Here is a 16307-nt window from a genome sequence, read left to right as displayed (position 1 = left end):
ACTTCCTATCCTACCATCTTGCTCCCATCACAAGAAATATGAGAAGTTCTGCAGACTGTCAGAGTAAGGAAGAAGCCAGGGTGTTCTCCTCCTCCCTTGGCCTCAGGTGGCATCTCCAAGCAGCAGCTGCATCCCCAAAGGGCCAGCTGTGGCCGAACAGCTCAGCTGGGATTCCAACTTTACCAGCTAATCTCTCCCCTCTGTCCCTCCAGCTTGGGGAAGGGGGCAGTTTCCTGCTGTTGCTGTTGTGGATGGCTGCCTCCCCATCCCCAAGTTACTTCGCAGCTCTTCCATCCTCTGAGTAATTAATTCCCTGCATTCAAGTGCCCCTGTGTTACGTACTCAAGCAGTTTCTACTTTCTGTTAGACTGATGAATATACCTGTGTTCCAGCAGTCCCAATCCTGAGTATATATCCTTCAGAGAAACTCTCCTGCAGGCCCCTAAGGAAAGATGTACAAGGACATTTACAGTGTTGTTTGTAAAAATGGAGAGTTAGCAGTAGCCTGGGCACTTATTACTAGAGGAATGAATATTTTATAAGAATAGACAAATATGTGACATGTATCCGGCACATTGGAGGAGTGACCATGTTGGGGGTTGGGAGAAGAATGGGAATTAGGGATGAAGGGAAAAACAAAAGGGGAGAAGGGCCTTGCATAGAATGGAAGGTGAATATGTCTAACCAAGGAGGTGGTTTGCTCGGCCTCTGCAAATGAGGTTTAAAGCAGTGTACACTCTATCCTCAAAGGATGGATGTGATAGCACAGGCAGAGAGAATAGCATAAGAAAAGGAATGGAGGCCTAGAAACGGTTTATCCAGGGAACAGCAAGAAGTGGGATGTGTCTGGGGCCTGGGGTCTGTGGCTGGAAAATCAGGTTGTGGGAGGCTCTTGGGGCCTCAGGAGCCTTATCAAGGATGCTGGACTCAGTCCTATAAAATCACAGGATGACAGCCACACTCAAAGGAGCTGGAAGATCTGTTGAACCTCTTGTGATTATAGGTGGGGAAACAGGTGCAGAGAGGGGTGGGGATTGGGACAAAGTCATGTGGGGCAAAACTGGTCCAGTGCCTGAGTTTTCTGACTCTTGTTTAGGGAATTTCCTCTTCACTAAGCCCCCAACTCTGCTAAGAACTGTGCTGGCTCTGGGGACACAACCCCAGCCCTCAAGGAGTTCCACTCATAGGAGACAGACACAGACTCAGATAGCCCTGATTGATGGTGAGATGTCTGTGACATTGGTGGCCCCCATGAACTGTGTCTCCCAGTATCCATGCCATTTTGAAGGCCAGCAGAAGAACTTTGAGCTGAGCCCAGGCCCAATTACAGTCATAAGCAAATAAAGTGATGGTTATTCTAAGCCATAACATTTGGGGGTGGTTTGTTATGCCAGCAATAGATTACCAAAACATGCAGTGTCAAGTGAAGACTGGGGGAAAAGCTGAAAAGGACAGAGTACATGGAGGACCAGAGAGAGTGAGAGTGAATTGGACCCAGTGGATGCTGAGAGCAGATAGGCATATAGGAGAAATTATAGGGAGCGTGGAAGACAAGTCTTGGCCATTGCCAATGACTCTCAATAGATCTCTGAGGACCTACTATGTGCCAGGCCTTGGACCGGAGGGGAGGCAAAGGATAGACACAGTGTGGTAGAGAGACAGCTGAGTCTCAGCAGTGCTGGTGGTGCCAGGTGGAAAGTGCTCAGGGCCCTGCAGGAGGTGGAGGTAAAGAGCTGGGGTCATGCAGAAGACAGAGGCACCAACTCCTTGGAGAGACACTGGGGAAGGCTTCACAGAGAAGGCAGAGTTTTATCTGGGCCCTGAAAAGTGGGTGGAGTTTAAAGTTGGTGGGTAAAGCTTTCCAAGGGGAGAGTTTTGTGTGTACAAAGAAGCACAAAGGTCATGACATTTGGGCGGGCAGCAGGGAGTGAGAAGTGGCCAGTACCAAAGTGATCAGAAATCACAATGAGGGGTGATCACCTTGCTTTTCATCTTGAATACACCTTCCAAACCACACCTATGAAAAGATCTTTTAAAATTAAAGCAAGCCCGAATGACGCTCTGGTTATGTGAATTAGGGAAGAATGAACCCAAAATGAGTGAGATTTCTTTCAAAGTAGTTCACATTATCATCATGGGTTGGGAGACCCTAAATGCCTAAAAATAGATACAGAACATTAATTTTTCATTGATCATAATATTATTTTCATAAACATTAAAAATGTAAACTTTTGGCAAGAAAGGTTTCACAAAAGGGAAAAGAGAGGTATGTGGAAGGGTGTGGCATCTCTTTTCTCATCCCTTTTGATCTGCTGCCAGTCTTTTGGAGGGGGCCTGTTGGGGCCTCAGAGTCAGGGTGGGACGGTATAGCTTGTAGGGTAGAGGGCTCTGGAGACTTTCAAACCAGTCAGAACCCCAGCTTTGCCTCTTCCTAGCTGTAAAGTGCTAAGCATGGAGTCCAGCACATGGTAAATGCTCAAGATGGTTTTTGTTGCTAAAATTGCTCACATGATCACTCATCCCATTTTAAAAAGAACCAAAGCCAAGGGGCCTCCAATTGTCAGCATAATGGGAATGGGGTGCAAGTCTCCTGTCTCCTCCTTTGACTCCCCTCTGTCTCCTCCCTCACCCCACCTGTCTTCCTTGCCCCCAGAGGTGGTGCCACCAATGCCAGGGGTGCTGCAGTGAGAGGGATGGAACTCCAGGGCCTCTGACTCTCTTCTGGATTGTGTTTTGAGGACCTCCAATGTGCCAGTAAATCAACTGACTTCCTCAGAGACTCACACCCAGCATCAAACAACGTCCAGAGAAGAACATGCAAGCCGCAGGTCTCCTCATCCAAAGAACCAGCAAAGAAACAGTATGAGGCAACAAGCACCCCCTTTCAACAAAGGGGAGTCAATAATATGAAAAGTTACAAAATCAGTTGTTTACTTAACCTTCAAGCTGTGGTGTGGTGGAAAAGATTGGCTGGCCGCTTAAATCCAAAATTACTGTCCAAAGTTTGTCACTATTCCAGTGCTGTCTTGGGCAAATCGTTCAACCTCTCTGAGACCCCATTTTCTCTTCTGAAAAGTGGGCATACAGATGCCTCACATAATTATTAAACATAATTACATGCAATGATATATGCAAAGGGTAATATACCCTAGATTGCACTGAAAAGATATTAGCCTCAGGTTGGGGAAGGGCATGACCCCTGAAGCTGCCTGCACTTTCCTTTGCATGATAATCTGTAGCTCCCCCAGACTCTTTTTTGTTGTTGTTAAATGCAGTCTCGCTCTTTCGCCCAGGCTGGAGTGCAGTGGTGTGATCTCGGCTCACTGCAACCTCCACCCCCCGGGTTCAAGTGATCCTCCTGCCTCAGCCTCCTGAATAGTTGGGACTACAGGTGCATGCTACCACACCCAGCTAATTTTTGTATTTTTAGTAGAGATGGGATTTCACCATCTTGGCCAAGCTGGTCTCGAACTCCTGACCTCAGCTGATCTGCCCACCTCAGCCTCCCAAAGTGCTGGGATTATAGGTGTGAACCACCGCGCCCACCCCCACACCAGATTCTCTAAAGTGTTCCTAACAGCTCCCCCTCCCAAAGTTTAGAGACACTGACATAGTTTTTTAAAAATTTATTTCTATATAAGGTTAAATCTAATATTGAGAAAGACCAGAGCAGAGATAAAAAGAAAATTGAAACAGAAAAAAACAATAGTAAATATAGAAACCAAATATGGTGGGTTGGTTGCTCTTTTGTTGTTGGAGTTTTTTTAAATGAACTGAACTTGTCATCCTCTGCACAAACTTCACAAAAGGAAAAGAAGAAAAGGATAAAAATAGAAACAAAAGCAATAACAAAATGGCAAAATGATATAAGAACCTTTTTTTAAATAAAAGGAATATATGCTTATGGTAAGAGATAATTCAAACAGTATAGAAGGGTATGAAGTGAAAAATAAATCTGTTTTTACCCTTCCAGTTATTCCTTATCCTTAGACTTATTAGCCAGAGTGTGCCACTTGACAGAAAGAAACTTTATTTATTGTTTTTTTCACATTGCAAGCTATGGTATCCTTTCTGAAGGAGAAGATGGAATTTAGAAAATTCCCAGAGGCATCTCATTTGCTAAAAGATAATGAACATCATATGAAAGAATTAAGTGCTTTCCTGGATCCTGACAAAATAAAGATATCAATCAAAGAAACTCCCCAAAGGAAGTCCAGATGGCCATGCAATTGAACTTTATCATGCTCATCGGTTTGGCAATCCCCATGCCCTTGAAATACCCAGGAAAACCACCCAACAGAAAGCAATACCTGATACATGCAGTGATTCTTTATAAAGCCAACCTGAAACTGGAGGAAACCTTATAAAACTGCTACCTTGTTCAGTAATCCTAATGAACACAGGAGCAAACTTTCTCCTCAACCAATCCTCTAAACGTAGCCACAGATCCATCTGAATTCATGGGGTCTTGTGCAGGCAGGATAGTGCAATATCTTGCACAATATATGAGAGTATCATTCATCATATAAAGTGGATCATCCCAAAGCATTTGACTATGTTGTAATTCCAAACTTCAGAAGCATGTGAAAAATCAATAGGACACTGCTATGGTCCCAGTGTTTGTGTCCCTGTAAAATTTGTAGTAAAACCAGCTGGGCGCAGTGGTTCACACCTGTGATCCCAGCACTTTGTGAGGCCGAGGCAGGCGGATCACTTGAGGTCAGGAGTTTGAGACCAGCCTGGCCAACGTGGTGAAAACCCATCTCTACCAAAAATATTAAAAATTAGCCGGGTATGGTGGTGCATGCCTGTAATCCCAGCTTCTCGGGAAGCTGAGGCAGGAGAATCACTTGAACCTGGGAGGCAGAGGTTGCAGTGAGCCGAGATCGTGCCACTGGACTCCAGCTTGGGTGACAGAACAAGGCTCTGTCTCAAACAAAACAAAACAAATTTGTGTTAAAACCAAATCCTCACTGTAGTGGTATTAAGAGGTGGGCCCTTTAGGAGGTGATTGGGTCATGGGGGCTCCACCTTCTTGAATAGGATTAGTGCCCTCATGAAGGAGGCTTGATGGTGACTTCTGTGTCCTCCTTCTACCATGTGAGGACACAGAAGGCACCATCTACAAGGAACAGGTCCTTGCCAGACATCAAGTCTGCTGGTGCCTTGCTCTTGGACTTCCCAGCCTCCAGAACTGTGAGCAACAAATTTCTGTTTGTAAATACCCAGTCTAAGGTATTTTGCTATAGCAGTCCAAATGGACTAAGACAAACATACTGGCCTTTACCTAAACTGTCTATACAATTTGAAAGGCTGAAATATTAAGAAATGGGCAAAAGGTAACTGAAATACCACTAAAGTCAGATGCCAGCCTATCTGTGTCCTTTGTTATTTAATATAACATAGAGTGGTGGTGTGGGCAGGAGAAATAACTGATTTCATTAGGAAAAAGCAAATTAAAAGACTCACTGTTGTTACTCAAAAAGAGAGGCTTGGAATGAGATTGGCACAACAGGATGCTACTGCTTTCTATCACAGCATGCTCCTGAAAACCAGGCCATAAATCAGATCCTTGAGAAGCAAATCCTATTTACCCAATAGGAATGATGTTATAATTGAATGAAGCTTGCTTTGCTGATCAAGGATTGGGCATTAAACTAATCCTATGTAACTTCTCCTCCCCTGCCCCGATGCGAGCTGACATGACAGCCAGCCACAAGGAAGAGAGACTTCTATGGCTCTCTCCAGCCCTCCACCACTGTCTCCTGGGCCTCAGCACCTCAGGAGGAAAGGGTAACTCTTTCAGCCTTGTGAGGAACCTCATGAAGAACCACACTAGGAGGTCTTCCCTGCCACATCACCTCCCATGACTTAGTAAATGTTCAGGTACTAGTGAACGGTGCACATCTCTTCATTGAACAGATTGCTGACTTTGTGCATGCCTATGGCCTCACACATGAAAAGGAACACAGAATTGTAGACAACTAACTATACAATGCAGTGTGACAAGCTTTTCTAGAATATGCTGAGATAAAAATGAAATACTGTATTTCACTGAATCTTAAACACCATTATTTTATGTATCAACAAGAAAGAAAAAGAATACTTCCAACTATAAGATGCCATCAATGGCAAAGTGCATCCTGATTCCAGAGATGAATAAGAACGTGTGTGTTAGAATGGTGAAATGTGGTAATTAACTTTTAAAGAAATGATAAGTATTATCTGTCAGCATGAACCAAGCCTTACTATGGATGCTGAGAAAAGGTAGCAATTATTTCTGCTGGAGTGACTGGAGGAGATATCACAAAGGAGGTGACATTTGACCTGAGTTTTGAAGGATTTTGTCAGTGGGAGAAAGAGTGGGAAGAGTGTTCCAAGTTGAAGGAATAGAATGAGCAAAGGTATGGAGGCAGAAAAGGGGTTCATGTTTATGGGCCAGCTAATATATTCTACGTAGTTAGAATATAAAAGGTGTGGGGAGAGAGAGCTGGTTGCTAAAGCTGGAAACATTGGAGCCACATTGTAAGTGGCTTGTAATACCAGGCGTGGGAGTTTGTACCCCAGAGGTTATAGGGAGCCATCGAATGTGTTGAGCTGGGGGGTGACAAGATTTGGAAAAGTCAGTTTGGCGGGATAAATGAAAGATAGCATGGAGAAATGTAAGAATAGACGTAGGAATATATACAAGTGAGACTGCAACCAGCCACGTTGGGGGTGGGTGGAGAGAAAATCATATACTCAGATCTTTGTGATGATGTCAGATTTTTAAAAGTGCAATAAAGGCAATAAGTGCCAAGGCTACCGCTAACTCTCCATTTTTACAAACAACACTGTAAGTGTCCTTGTACATCTCTCCTTAGGGGCCTGCAGGAGAGTTTCTCTGAAGGATATATGCTGTACAGCAATGGGAATAAAAGATCTACAATCATATACAACAATATGGATAACTTTCACGATGTTGAGTGAAAGAAGCCAGGCACAAAAGGACAGATGGTGATTCCATTTATATCAAGCCCAAGAAGAGGCAAAACCCAATCTACAGTGTTAGCAGAGTCAGCATGGTGGTCACCCTTGAGAAGGTGAGTGACTGGCCAGCAACATGACTTTTGGGTGCTGGTAATGTTCTGGTTCTTGATGGTGATTACATGGGTGTGTTCACTTTGGGAAAATTCATTGAACTGTCTGTTATATTTCAATAAAATTTATGAAACATACTTAGGGCCATGGAGAGAAACTGAAAGTCAGGATCTGGAATGGAGGTATCAGGAAGCTGTTGGACCCTGCAAGCGCTCAATCCCAGAATGACCTGAAGCGTTGGGATAATGCCATGGACCACAAAAGGGACTTTGTGTGGTGCATTAGGAGAAAGCGTGGACGTTTGTTGAAAAGAATGCAGAATTTTCTCATCTCCAGGCCTGTAACAGAGGCACACAGGATGTATTGGGTGGAGAATGACCAGCAAACAGGAGATAGTGGAGCAAGCATAAAATGAAAGATGAGGAGACTGTTAGAGGGCACCTAGAAGCTTTCAACGAGCCTATGTCTCCAGGGCCAGATGAAGTACCTGTCAAGACAGCAGGACACTGTAGCTAGGATCCAGAAAGAGCATCTGAAGGATCTTTGGGAGATGAGTGAAAGGGAGGGTTAGGTGGCAGGGGATGCAGCAGGGTTCAGGTTTCCTAAGAGCCTAAAATGGTGACTTCAGCAGTAGGGGATTTGGGTGTTTATTGTCAGCAGCGTTTGAGAAGAGCTGATTGGATAAATGATGTGTGATCACACAGAGGAGAGCAGTGCTCCCTACGGTGGTTGTGTTCACCAAGAGCCAGCCCAGTTACGACCACCCTTATTCATGGAGTTATTCATCTGACAGGTCAGAGAAATTAAGAGGTAGCATGTATCAGGGTTTCAGCCGGGCTTTAGCAAGGCTTTTCATGATTTTCAGGAGTGCAAGACAGAGAAATGAGGACTGCAGAATGTGGAAGTTGGGAGCAATTTTCAGTAGGTTTAATTGTAGAACCAGAGGCGGCAGATGACCCCCAGTGTGGGCAGTCACAGGGTGTGTCTTTGGCATTCTCCTATTTAACATTTTGACTAATGCTATAGGATGAGAAAGAAAATCCTATTGTGCAATGACAATGGCATTAACTGAGAGGGATGGTGAATATGAGTGATAAGAGACTCACCACACAAGGATGCCTTCAACAGGCTGCAACATCAGGACATGGTCAAAGGTGAAATGTTTCAATCCTATTCAGAGGCCTCCAAATTAAACGGCTGATAAGTAATGTTAGAGAGATGTGGCTTGCTGTTCTTTTGAAGCATCAGCAACAATAACCCCATAGAAAACAAACCTAGGGTTCTTAGAGAACCACAAGCTTCCTATAAGCCAAAGGGGTGATGCAGCTGCTAGCAAAATGTGGGTAAATCTGGACTATAAGGACAGTGGGGACAGCAGTCACAGGTGTGAGCACAGAAGGGCAGCCATGCTCTTCTACATCTTTCTTGGCCCAGGTGGAGGGTTTTGTGGTTGGTTCTGGGTAATGTCTTTGAGGAGAGCCATGAGCAGACTCTAGACTTGTGGCCAGGGGAGGTTTGGGGGCATTTCTCCCAAAGAAGAAGACTTGGCTAGAGGTGGAGAGTGAGGGGGTGCCTAGGAACTACCTCTGGGAAGGAACTGCCATGGGTGAGAGGGAGTGCTGTGGACTCCTGCAACAGGTTAAAACCCGGTAAAAGCTGTAGAAAGGCCTACTGGTGGAGCCTAAGAAAAAAATGTGTGAAAACCTCATGAATCAAGTAATGAAGTGGGAACCTCAGCAGGCACTGATCTTGCCATCTTTAGCAGTAATATAATTATTTATTACATGCCTAATAAGTACCTAGTACTGTGTTAAGAACTTTATATGCATTATCTTAATAAGGGAGATAATTACATGTAAAGTGGTTTAAACAGTGTCTGGCACATGTGAATGCTCACTATGTGTTAGCTATTGTCATTATCTAATCCTCACAATAACCCTATGAAAGAGGAACCTTTATTGTTCCCAGTTTACAGATGGAGAAAATGAAGCTCGGGAAGTTAAGTAACTTACTCAAAGTTGCACCACTAATACTTAGCAAGCCAGAATTTGAGGCCAGGGCTGCCTGACTCCAAAACTCACCACTGTCCCTAAGGGGTAAAGAGGGACTCATATGTTTGGAGGGGTAGGAAAAGAGGCTTCCTAAGCCTGTTCTTCGTCTAAGGTTCTGTTCTAAAACTCTCCCTCTTGTCCATCCTGGGTCCCCTTTGTTAATAATCTAATTGTTTTTGAAACCTCTAAATGAGAGAGGATTTAATCCCTGTTGCCAGTCTGTGTTGTTCTGGAGACCACCCAATTACAAGCTAAATGTCCTTTCTGTGTTCATTCAGGACCTGTCCCACTGACCTGAATCAATCTTCCACAGTTCTCAAACCACATGAAGAGTATGGGTAAAGGAGGAGGCTCTGGGCTCTGCTGGCCTGCCCTAGCCTTGCCGTTGACTCTTTTTTTTTTTCTTTGAGATGGAGTCTCGCTCTGTCACCCAGGCTGGAGTGCAGTGGCCCGATCTCGGGTCACTGCAACCTCCGCCTCCTGGGTTCAAGCAATTGTCCTGCCTCAGCCTCCTGAGTAGCTGGGATTACAGGCCCATGCCACCATGCCCGGCTAATTTTTTTTTTTTTAGTAGCGACAGGGTTTCACCATGTTGGTCAGGCTGATCTTGAATTCCTGACCTCGTGATCCGCCCGCCTCTGCCTCCTAAAGTGCTGGGATTACAGGTGTGAGCCACCGTGCCCAGCCGCTGTTGACTCTTGAAGGATTTAGTCATAGACTCTCCAGGCCAGACACTCTCCTCCCTGATAACCCAAAAGAGGACCCAGATTCTCTTTAACTCAGTGGAGTTCCCTGGTTAGCTCATTTCACTTCTTTCTGGTGTGGACCCTCAGCAGTGTTCTTTGTCTCTTTAAGGCTGTCCTATTCAGTTCTATAAAGGCATCTTCAAGGAGAGGCAAGTAGAGCGGAGACAAATGCAGGAATTTGGGGTCAGGCAGGACTGGGTTTGACAGGACTGGTCAGACAGTACTGGGTTTGGACCCCCTTGCTGCCTCTGCCAAGTATCATTAGGCACACCATTTCATCAAGCTGTACCTTAATCTCTTAATTTGCAAAACTGGGATCCTAACACCAATTTTTCAGGCAGATGTGAAGATTAAGATGATGCATACCAAGGTGTCTGGCACAGAGTAGGTAGGTGTTTAATAAATGGTAGCTATTGTTATTACTCAAGCTGTGTCACCAGACCACATATGATACCTGAAACCTAATTTTATGGTTTAAAAAACATGCCTTGTGAAAAGGGATATGCAACTTAGATTCATTCAGTTAGTCTTTTTTAGAGCCATCATTCATAACTTACCATTTTTAAAAAAGCAAGGAAATGAAAATAAATAATGCACTTCAAGAAAAAAAATAGGCTGCCAACTACTTGGTTGAAAGAAACATTTCCATATAAACATGAATGAGAAATAACATGGGAGATGTTTGCAAAGATGGCATGTGTGTGCCTATGTGTGTGTATGTAAACCATACACACACACACACACTCTCTCTCTCACACACACACACACAATTGCAGCTCCACCCTTCCAGTCTCAATCCTATATATTAGTTTGGTACAAAAGTAATTGCAGTTTTTACCATTACTTTCAATGGCAAAAACTGCAATTACTTTTGCACCAACCTTATATCAACTATATATATATAGTTTGTTTTGTTTTAAAGAAGAAAGTGAGAGAAGACCTTGCTGCTGTTAGGAGTTAGAGTAGAGGCAGGCATGGATAACAATCAAATGGGGAAAAGGGTGTTAAAAACTGGACCCAGTTCCTGGAAGGAGGCAGCTCTGGAGGGCAGATCTGAGCAGCCCTGGGTGGCACAGGGTGTCAGCCCAATAAGGAAGGAGAGCAGACAGCAGAGAAAGGCCTGGTTAGCTTCCCAGCATCAGGATCCTGTTCAAAGGGATGGAGTGTCATGTTGACAGGGAGCCAGCTGGACCATGGAGCCCCAAAATCCCCAGAAAGGAAGCGGGCACCATCTCTCAACCTCTGAGCTGGGGTTTAGAGACTGGCTTCTGTGTGTAGGCAGAGGGTTTGTGAGAAAAGATTGCTAAGGAAACAGGATTATGCAAACAAGATAATAATTTAAGCCATACAGACCTGGGCTAACACGGATGTTTCATTACTTCCTGGAGGTGCAACCTGAGCACGTTGCTTTCTAAGTCTCTATTACATCTCTTAAAAGGTAGATGAGTTCAAGGGAATCAAGTGTTTTCCACATTCTGGGACTTGGCCAATGCATTTTATTCCAATTAATAAGAAGCACAATGATTAGCCAATTCTCATCCTCTCTTCTGCTTATACCCTGGCCTGGCCACCAAATGTGCTTATTGTAGTAGAGACTCCTAACAGGTATTCCTGCTCACGCTCTTTTCCCCTGCTAACGGTTCTTCACTCTACAGCCAGAGTGATCCTCTTAAAATACATCAGATCATGTCACTGCTCCACCCAGTAGCCTCCCACGGTTGCTGTTTCATGTGCCCTCCCAGTGCTGAGGCCCCATACAGTCCTACCTGCCTTTGACCTTGGATCTGATTGCTTTCCCTTTGCCCACTCTGCTCTACCACATTGGCTTCCACATTGTTCCTTGAACATGCCAGGCACACTCCTGTCTCGGAGCCTCTGCCCTTGCTGTTCCTCTGCATGGAACACTATTCGCCTGTCTCTCTTACTTACCTTCTTTATGTCTTTGCTGAGGAGTCACCTTAGTGTGTCTTTCCCTGACCTCCCTATTTCAAATTGCAGCCCCACTCTGCCAGTCTCAATCCTCTTTCCTGCTTTTTTGTTCACCATAGCACTTTTCATAAATGGGCATACTAACATATCTTCTTCTTCCTATTTATTGTTTCTCTTTCTCCACTAGAATGTCAATTCTACAAGGGCAGGGATTTTGTTCTGGTTTTTTCCTTCCTATATCATCAGCTCCTAGGACAGTGCCTAGCAGGTAGCATGCCCTTCAAAACACTGGTCAAAGGAATGAATGATTATTATAAAGCAAGACGCTGGACCCCAGCTCTGGAGGAACATGCATTCTAGGCTGGTGACTGAGGCAGGAACTCAGACTCAGGAAGCACATCAGGGATGCAGTTACCCAAACTGTAATACCAGGCCAGAGTAAGATCTTGGAACCAGAGGGATGCCCAGGCATTAGGAGTGGGCTGTGAGATCAGAGATTGGCCTGGAGCCATGCTGATGGAGAGTGAGATTGGTGCCCCCTGGGTCAGGGCAGATCCCAGGTCATGCGTCTTGGGGCCAGGTCACCCCACCATAAAAGAAGACAGAGGGGCTGTAGGGCAGGATGCCAGGTAGGGCCTTCAACCCCTTAGTAAATGTCAGGCAAAGTTACCCAGCTTTCAACTTATTCCCAGATGTAGGTGTCAGTGGACACTCTATATTGGCACAGCTTGCAAGGAGGACACAAATGACTAAAGGAAAGAATTAGAAAAAAGAAAAAAACCAAGTGAAAATGTTCATTCAGAAACCTGAGCTAAGGGTTTGAGGAATGGCAGGTGCCAGAAGACTATGACTGGAGGATATTTGTGATGTCAAGTGAGACAGCAGTTGAGCGAGTATCTGGGGATTACACTGTCCTTTGGACCATTTCTTTCCCTCCCTCCCTTCCTTCCTCCCTTCCTGGAGGAGATGCTCAGGTGAGTTCTGTTCATGCAAACCCTCCAGCTTGGGGAAAAGGAAATGCCAAGTGGAGCCGGGAGAGGTGGAGTCTATAGAAGCCTGGAAAGAGAAGTTAGGGCAGAGAGAATTTGGCCTGGTTTCCCTGGCGCTGTCCAAGGTACTCTCTAGTAGTTCTGCTCAGCCTCCACTCACATCTTTGTGCTTCCTAACAACTCAGCCTGGATTCAGAGCTGCCCTTGCCTCACTCCAGTAGAGCTGGTGTGTGGCCATCATCATCATCATCCGGTCCAAATCCCTCACCATATGCCGGAGGGAATCGATGTCCAGAGCAACTGAGTCAGGGCAGTGCTCCTCCTGGAGAGGAAACTTGCAGTCCCACATCCCTGGCTCCCACTGCACTGTGCACGGAGTTCCTGCTGGCTCTGGGTTCCGGTCCTTCAGTAGCTCTGTGTGCTTCCACTAGCTACAGAACCTCTCTGAGCACCAGTGTATTCGCCTGTAAAGTAAGGGTGAGTAACACAGTATGCTTACAGGGCAGTTGTGGGGATTACATCATAAGGCACACAGTAAGTACTCAGCGAAGGTCAAACTTCCATTCTTGTTACAAGGTCGTCGATATCTTCCACAGTCCCTGGTTCAGGCTCAAGTATGTTTTGTGATTTGATGTCCTACTGTGTTCCTCGCATTAATCAGCCCCTGGGACTTTATAGATTAATGATCACGTTTCCTATTCTTGAAGTATGCAGAGGCACAAGGAACCCAAGGTCTTAGGTCAGCTCACTCGGGTACATCTGGCTCGGGACTGCTTTGGCTAAGATTGGCCAGTGCGACCTGGCAGAGAGAGGGCCAAGTCCAGGGGCGCGCGGCCCCGCCCTGGCCTGAGGATAGTGCTCCCACCCCGGGAGACTTCTAGGGCGGGGCCCATCAAGAATGGGGACGCGGGGAGGTCAAATGCCTGGAGGGGGCGGTAGCGCACGTAAGGTTGGGACCCCAGCTTTGCTTGGGGTTGGCAAAGGGCGGTCGCTCCGTCTGGTGGGGAGGAAAGGGGTGTCCTCAGCCAAGGCCCTAAAGGCCGGGCAGCCTGGCACCAACGGGCGTTCGAGCACCCGTGGGCGTCTTCAGCGACCCCCGGGACTCGGTCAGGGGCTCGTGGGCGCCAGAAAAGAACGGGAGAGCGTAGGCTGCAGATGCCTCTGGGACGCCTTCGTGGAACATTCTCCTGCCCAGACCTTCCCGGCCAGACCTCCGAGAAGCGGTTCCAAACCACCGTGCAGGTGCTACAGGCAGCGCTCGGCGGAGCGGCGGCGGCCACTGCGTGTGCCAGCGCGCGGTCCCGGTTCCCAGATCGCTGTCCCCGGGCGCTCTGGTGCCTGGAGGTCAGCGGTCGGCGGGCAGCGGCAGCTGGCGCAGCGGAGGGCCGGGGGCGCGTGTGTGCGTGTGCTGGGAAGGTGGCCCTCCCCGCGGCCGCCGCAGCGCCAGCGCCTCCCCCTCCCCCGGCGCGCACGGCTCGTCCCCGTCCCTGGAGGCGGCCCGAGCCGCCCCTGAGCAGCCTCGCCTTCGCCTCCCGCGTTTCCTGCCGTCCGCCCTCCCCCGGCCGAGCTCCAGGGGCTGCCGCCTAGCAGCTCCCGGCGGGAGAGCGGTTCAGAGCGCGCACGGGGGCGGGCGGAGGCGGCCCGGTGCGGGGCGGCCGCGCTGGAGAGAGGCGCGCGCGGAGACGCCGGCCCCCCTCTCCGCGTTTGCTCGCTTGCTCCCCGCCTCCCGCACTCCGCTCGCTCCCACCCCTTCCCGGCGTGATTGATCCGTCACGGGCGCCGCCGCTGCCGCCGCCGCCGCCGCGGCCGTTCTGAGCCGAGCCGGAACCCTAGCCCGAGACGGAGCCGGGGCCCGGGCCGGCGCCATTGCGCGGGCGCCGCGGGAAGACCTTGGCGCGGGGCGGCGGGCCGGGCCAGGCCATGCGGGCCGAGTGAGCCGGCGCCCGCAGCCCGCGGCGCGGCATGGCTTCCCCGCGGAGCTCCGGGCAGCCCGGGCCGCCGCCGCCGCCGCCACCGCCGCCCGCGCGCCTGCTACTGCTACTGCTGCTGCCGCTGCTGCTGCCTCTGGCGCCCGGGGCCTGGGGCTGGGCGCGGGGCGCCCCCCGGCCGCCGCCCAGCAGCCCGCCGCTCTCCATCATGGGCCTCATGCCGCTCACCAAGGAGGTGGCCAAGGGCAGCATCGGGCGCGGTGTGCTCCCCGCCGTGGAACTGGCCATCGAGCAGATCCGCAACGAGTCACTCCTGCGCCCCTACTTCCTCGACCTGCGGCTCTATGACACGGAGGTGAGTGTCCGGCTGCCCCTGCCGTCGGGGCTTCGGGGGGCATTGGGGTGGGTGGTTTGGACACAGGCAACCTCCGGCCTTTGGTCAGATCCCCGATTGACCGGCCCGCGCCTGCCGAGGGCAGAGAGGGCTGGTGCCCAGTGTTCACCCCCGCGGTCCTGCTGGGCTTGGCTGGCACAGCTGGTAACATTTGCCAAGCACCCCCTCCTCTGGTCTTATGTGTGTATGTGTGTGTGGGGAGGGGTGGGGGTGGGATAGAAGACTGGGGTCTCTTTTGACCAGAGAAAAAGGAGTGGAGAAGGTGGGGGCTGGACCCCCAAAGGCCTACATTGATTGTCCCTGTCCAGGTCCCGCTCATGGGGCTGCGAGGTACCGAGTGGGAGGAACAGGCGCATTGACTGCAAACTGGGCCACCCAGGGCCGGAGGGGCCGCGGGCCTGCTCACAGGCCCCCAGGGAAGCCGAGCCGCGCTTTGAGGTCCGGAAGGCTCCGGAACCCAAGGGGCTTGAGCGTGCAGCGTGGCTGGGCGCCTGGTGCGCGCCAGCAGCTCTGAGCCCGCTCCGCGCGGGCAAGTGTGGGGCCACCGGCTCTGCAGCGCTTCTGCCTGGACGTGCCCGGCGCTGCCTGTGGCCAGAGCGATTTCAGGAGACCCCTGCCTCGGGTTAGTTGCTCAGAAAGTGCCCTGGCAGTTCTCGTCCCGGACGTGCAGTGGTGTCCGGCCGCGCCGCTGCTGTTGGCCGGGCGGCTGCAGGCAGTTTCTCACGGCTCAGGCTTGAAGCATCCGACCTAGCAGCCGGAGCACAGACTTGGAGAGCAGTCCGGAGCGGAGCCAGAGAGCCAAGGGCTTTCCATCCCAAGACCCCTCCCCACGCCCTCGGTTTGGGTTCTGCCTGAAGCCCCAGAGCGGACCTTCACCGCCAGGCCGGGGCTGGAGCGCGCGGAGCGGGTCTGGAGGAGCGATCGCTGGCCGCGCAAGGTCGGGTTTGCGAGTTTTTCCGGACCGAGCGAGCCCCTGTGCTCCGACCGCAGCGTCTGAGACGCGGCCTGAAGGGGGCAGTGATTTCCTGTGCAGTACGCTCGGTTGGCGCCTCTTCCATCGCGCGGAACGGGGCCGAGGCGCTGGGCTTGATCCTGGCTTCCTGGGACTCTCCGGGCGCTTCTGCTGGAGTCCAGGTGCAGAACCCTTTTGGGAGGAGGGTCGCGCTACTGCTCTGGTGGTGCAATCTGGG

General features: G+C 49.5%; 1 protein-coding gene across 1 annotated transcript in view, besides 2 other annotated features; it reads left to right on the top strand.

The window, feature by feature from the left end:
* Nucleotides 13174-13468: an enhancer, noted in NCBI's record as "tiled region #5777; K562 Activating DNase matched - State 20:ReprD, and HepG2 Activating non-DNase unmatched - State 20:ReprD". NCBI's record gives its function as "activates a minimal TATA promoter and a strong SV40 promoter by Sharpr-MPRA in K562 cells, with weaker activation in HepG2 cells {active_cell/tissue: HepG2 | K562}" and the evidence as "EXISTENCE:reporter gene assay evidence [ECO:0000049][PMID:27701403]".
* Nucleotides 14560-16307, top strand: part of GABBR2 (gamma-aminobutyric acid type B receptor subunit 2) — a 420827-nt gene continuing 419079 nt past the window's right edge. Inside the window, exon 1 of the mRNA NM_005458.8 lies at nt 14560-15078. Coding sequence (NP_005449.5) covers nt 14758-15078 — 321 coding nt within the window. The 5' untranslated portion in view covers nt 14560-14757. The remainder of the gene's footprint in view (nt 15079-16307) is intronic.
* Nucleotides 15221-15791: an enhancer, noted in NCBI's record as "H3K27ac-H3K4me1 hESC enhancer chr9:101469986-101470556 (GRCh37/hg19 assembly coordinates)". NCBI's record gives its function as "activates a minimal SCP1, AML or CMV promoter by ChIP-STARR-seq in naive H9 embryonic stem cells {active_cell/tissue: H9 hESC(naive)}" and the evidence as "EXISTENCE:reporter gene assay evidence [ECO:0000049][PMID:30033119]".

The sequence above is a fragment of the Homo sapiens genome, chromosome 9 (genome assembly GCF_000001405.40).
Source record: "Homo sapiens chromosome 9, GRCh38.p14 Primary Assembly".
NCBI lineage: Eukaryota > Metazoa > Chordata > Mammalia > Primates > Hominidae > Homo > Homo sapiens.
Note: the sequence above shows the minus strand (reverse complement) of the source record. Positions and strands in the feature narration are given on the sequence as shown.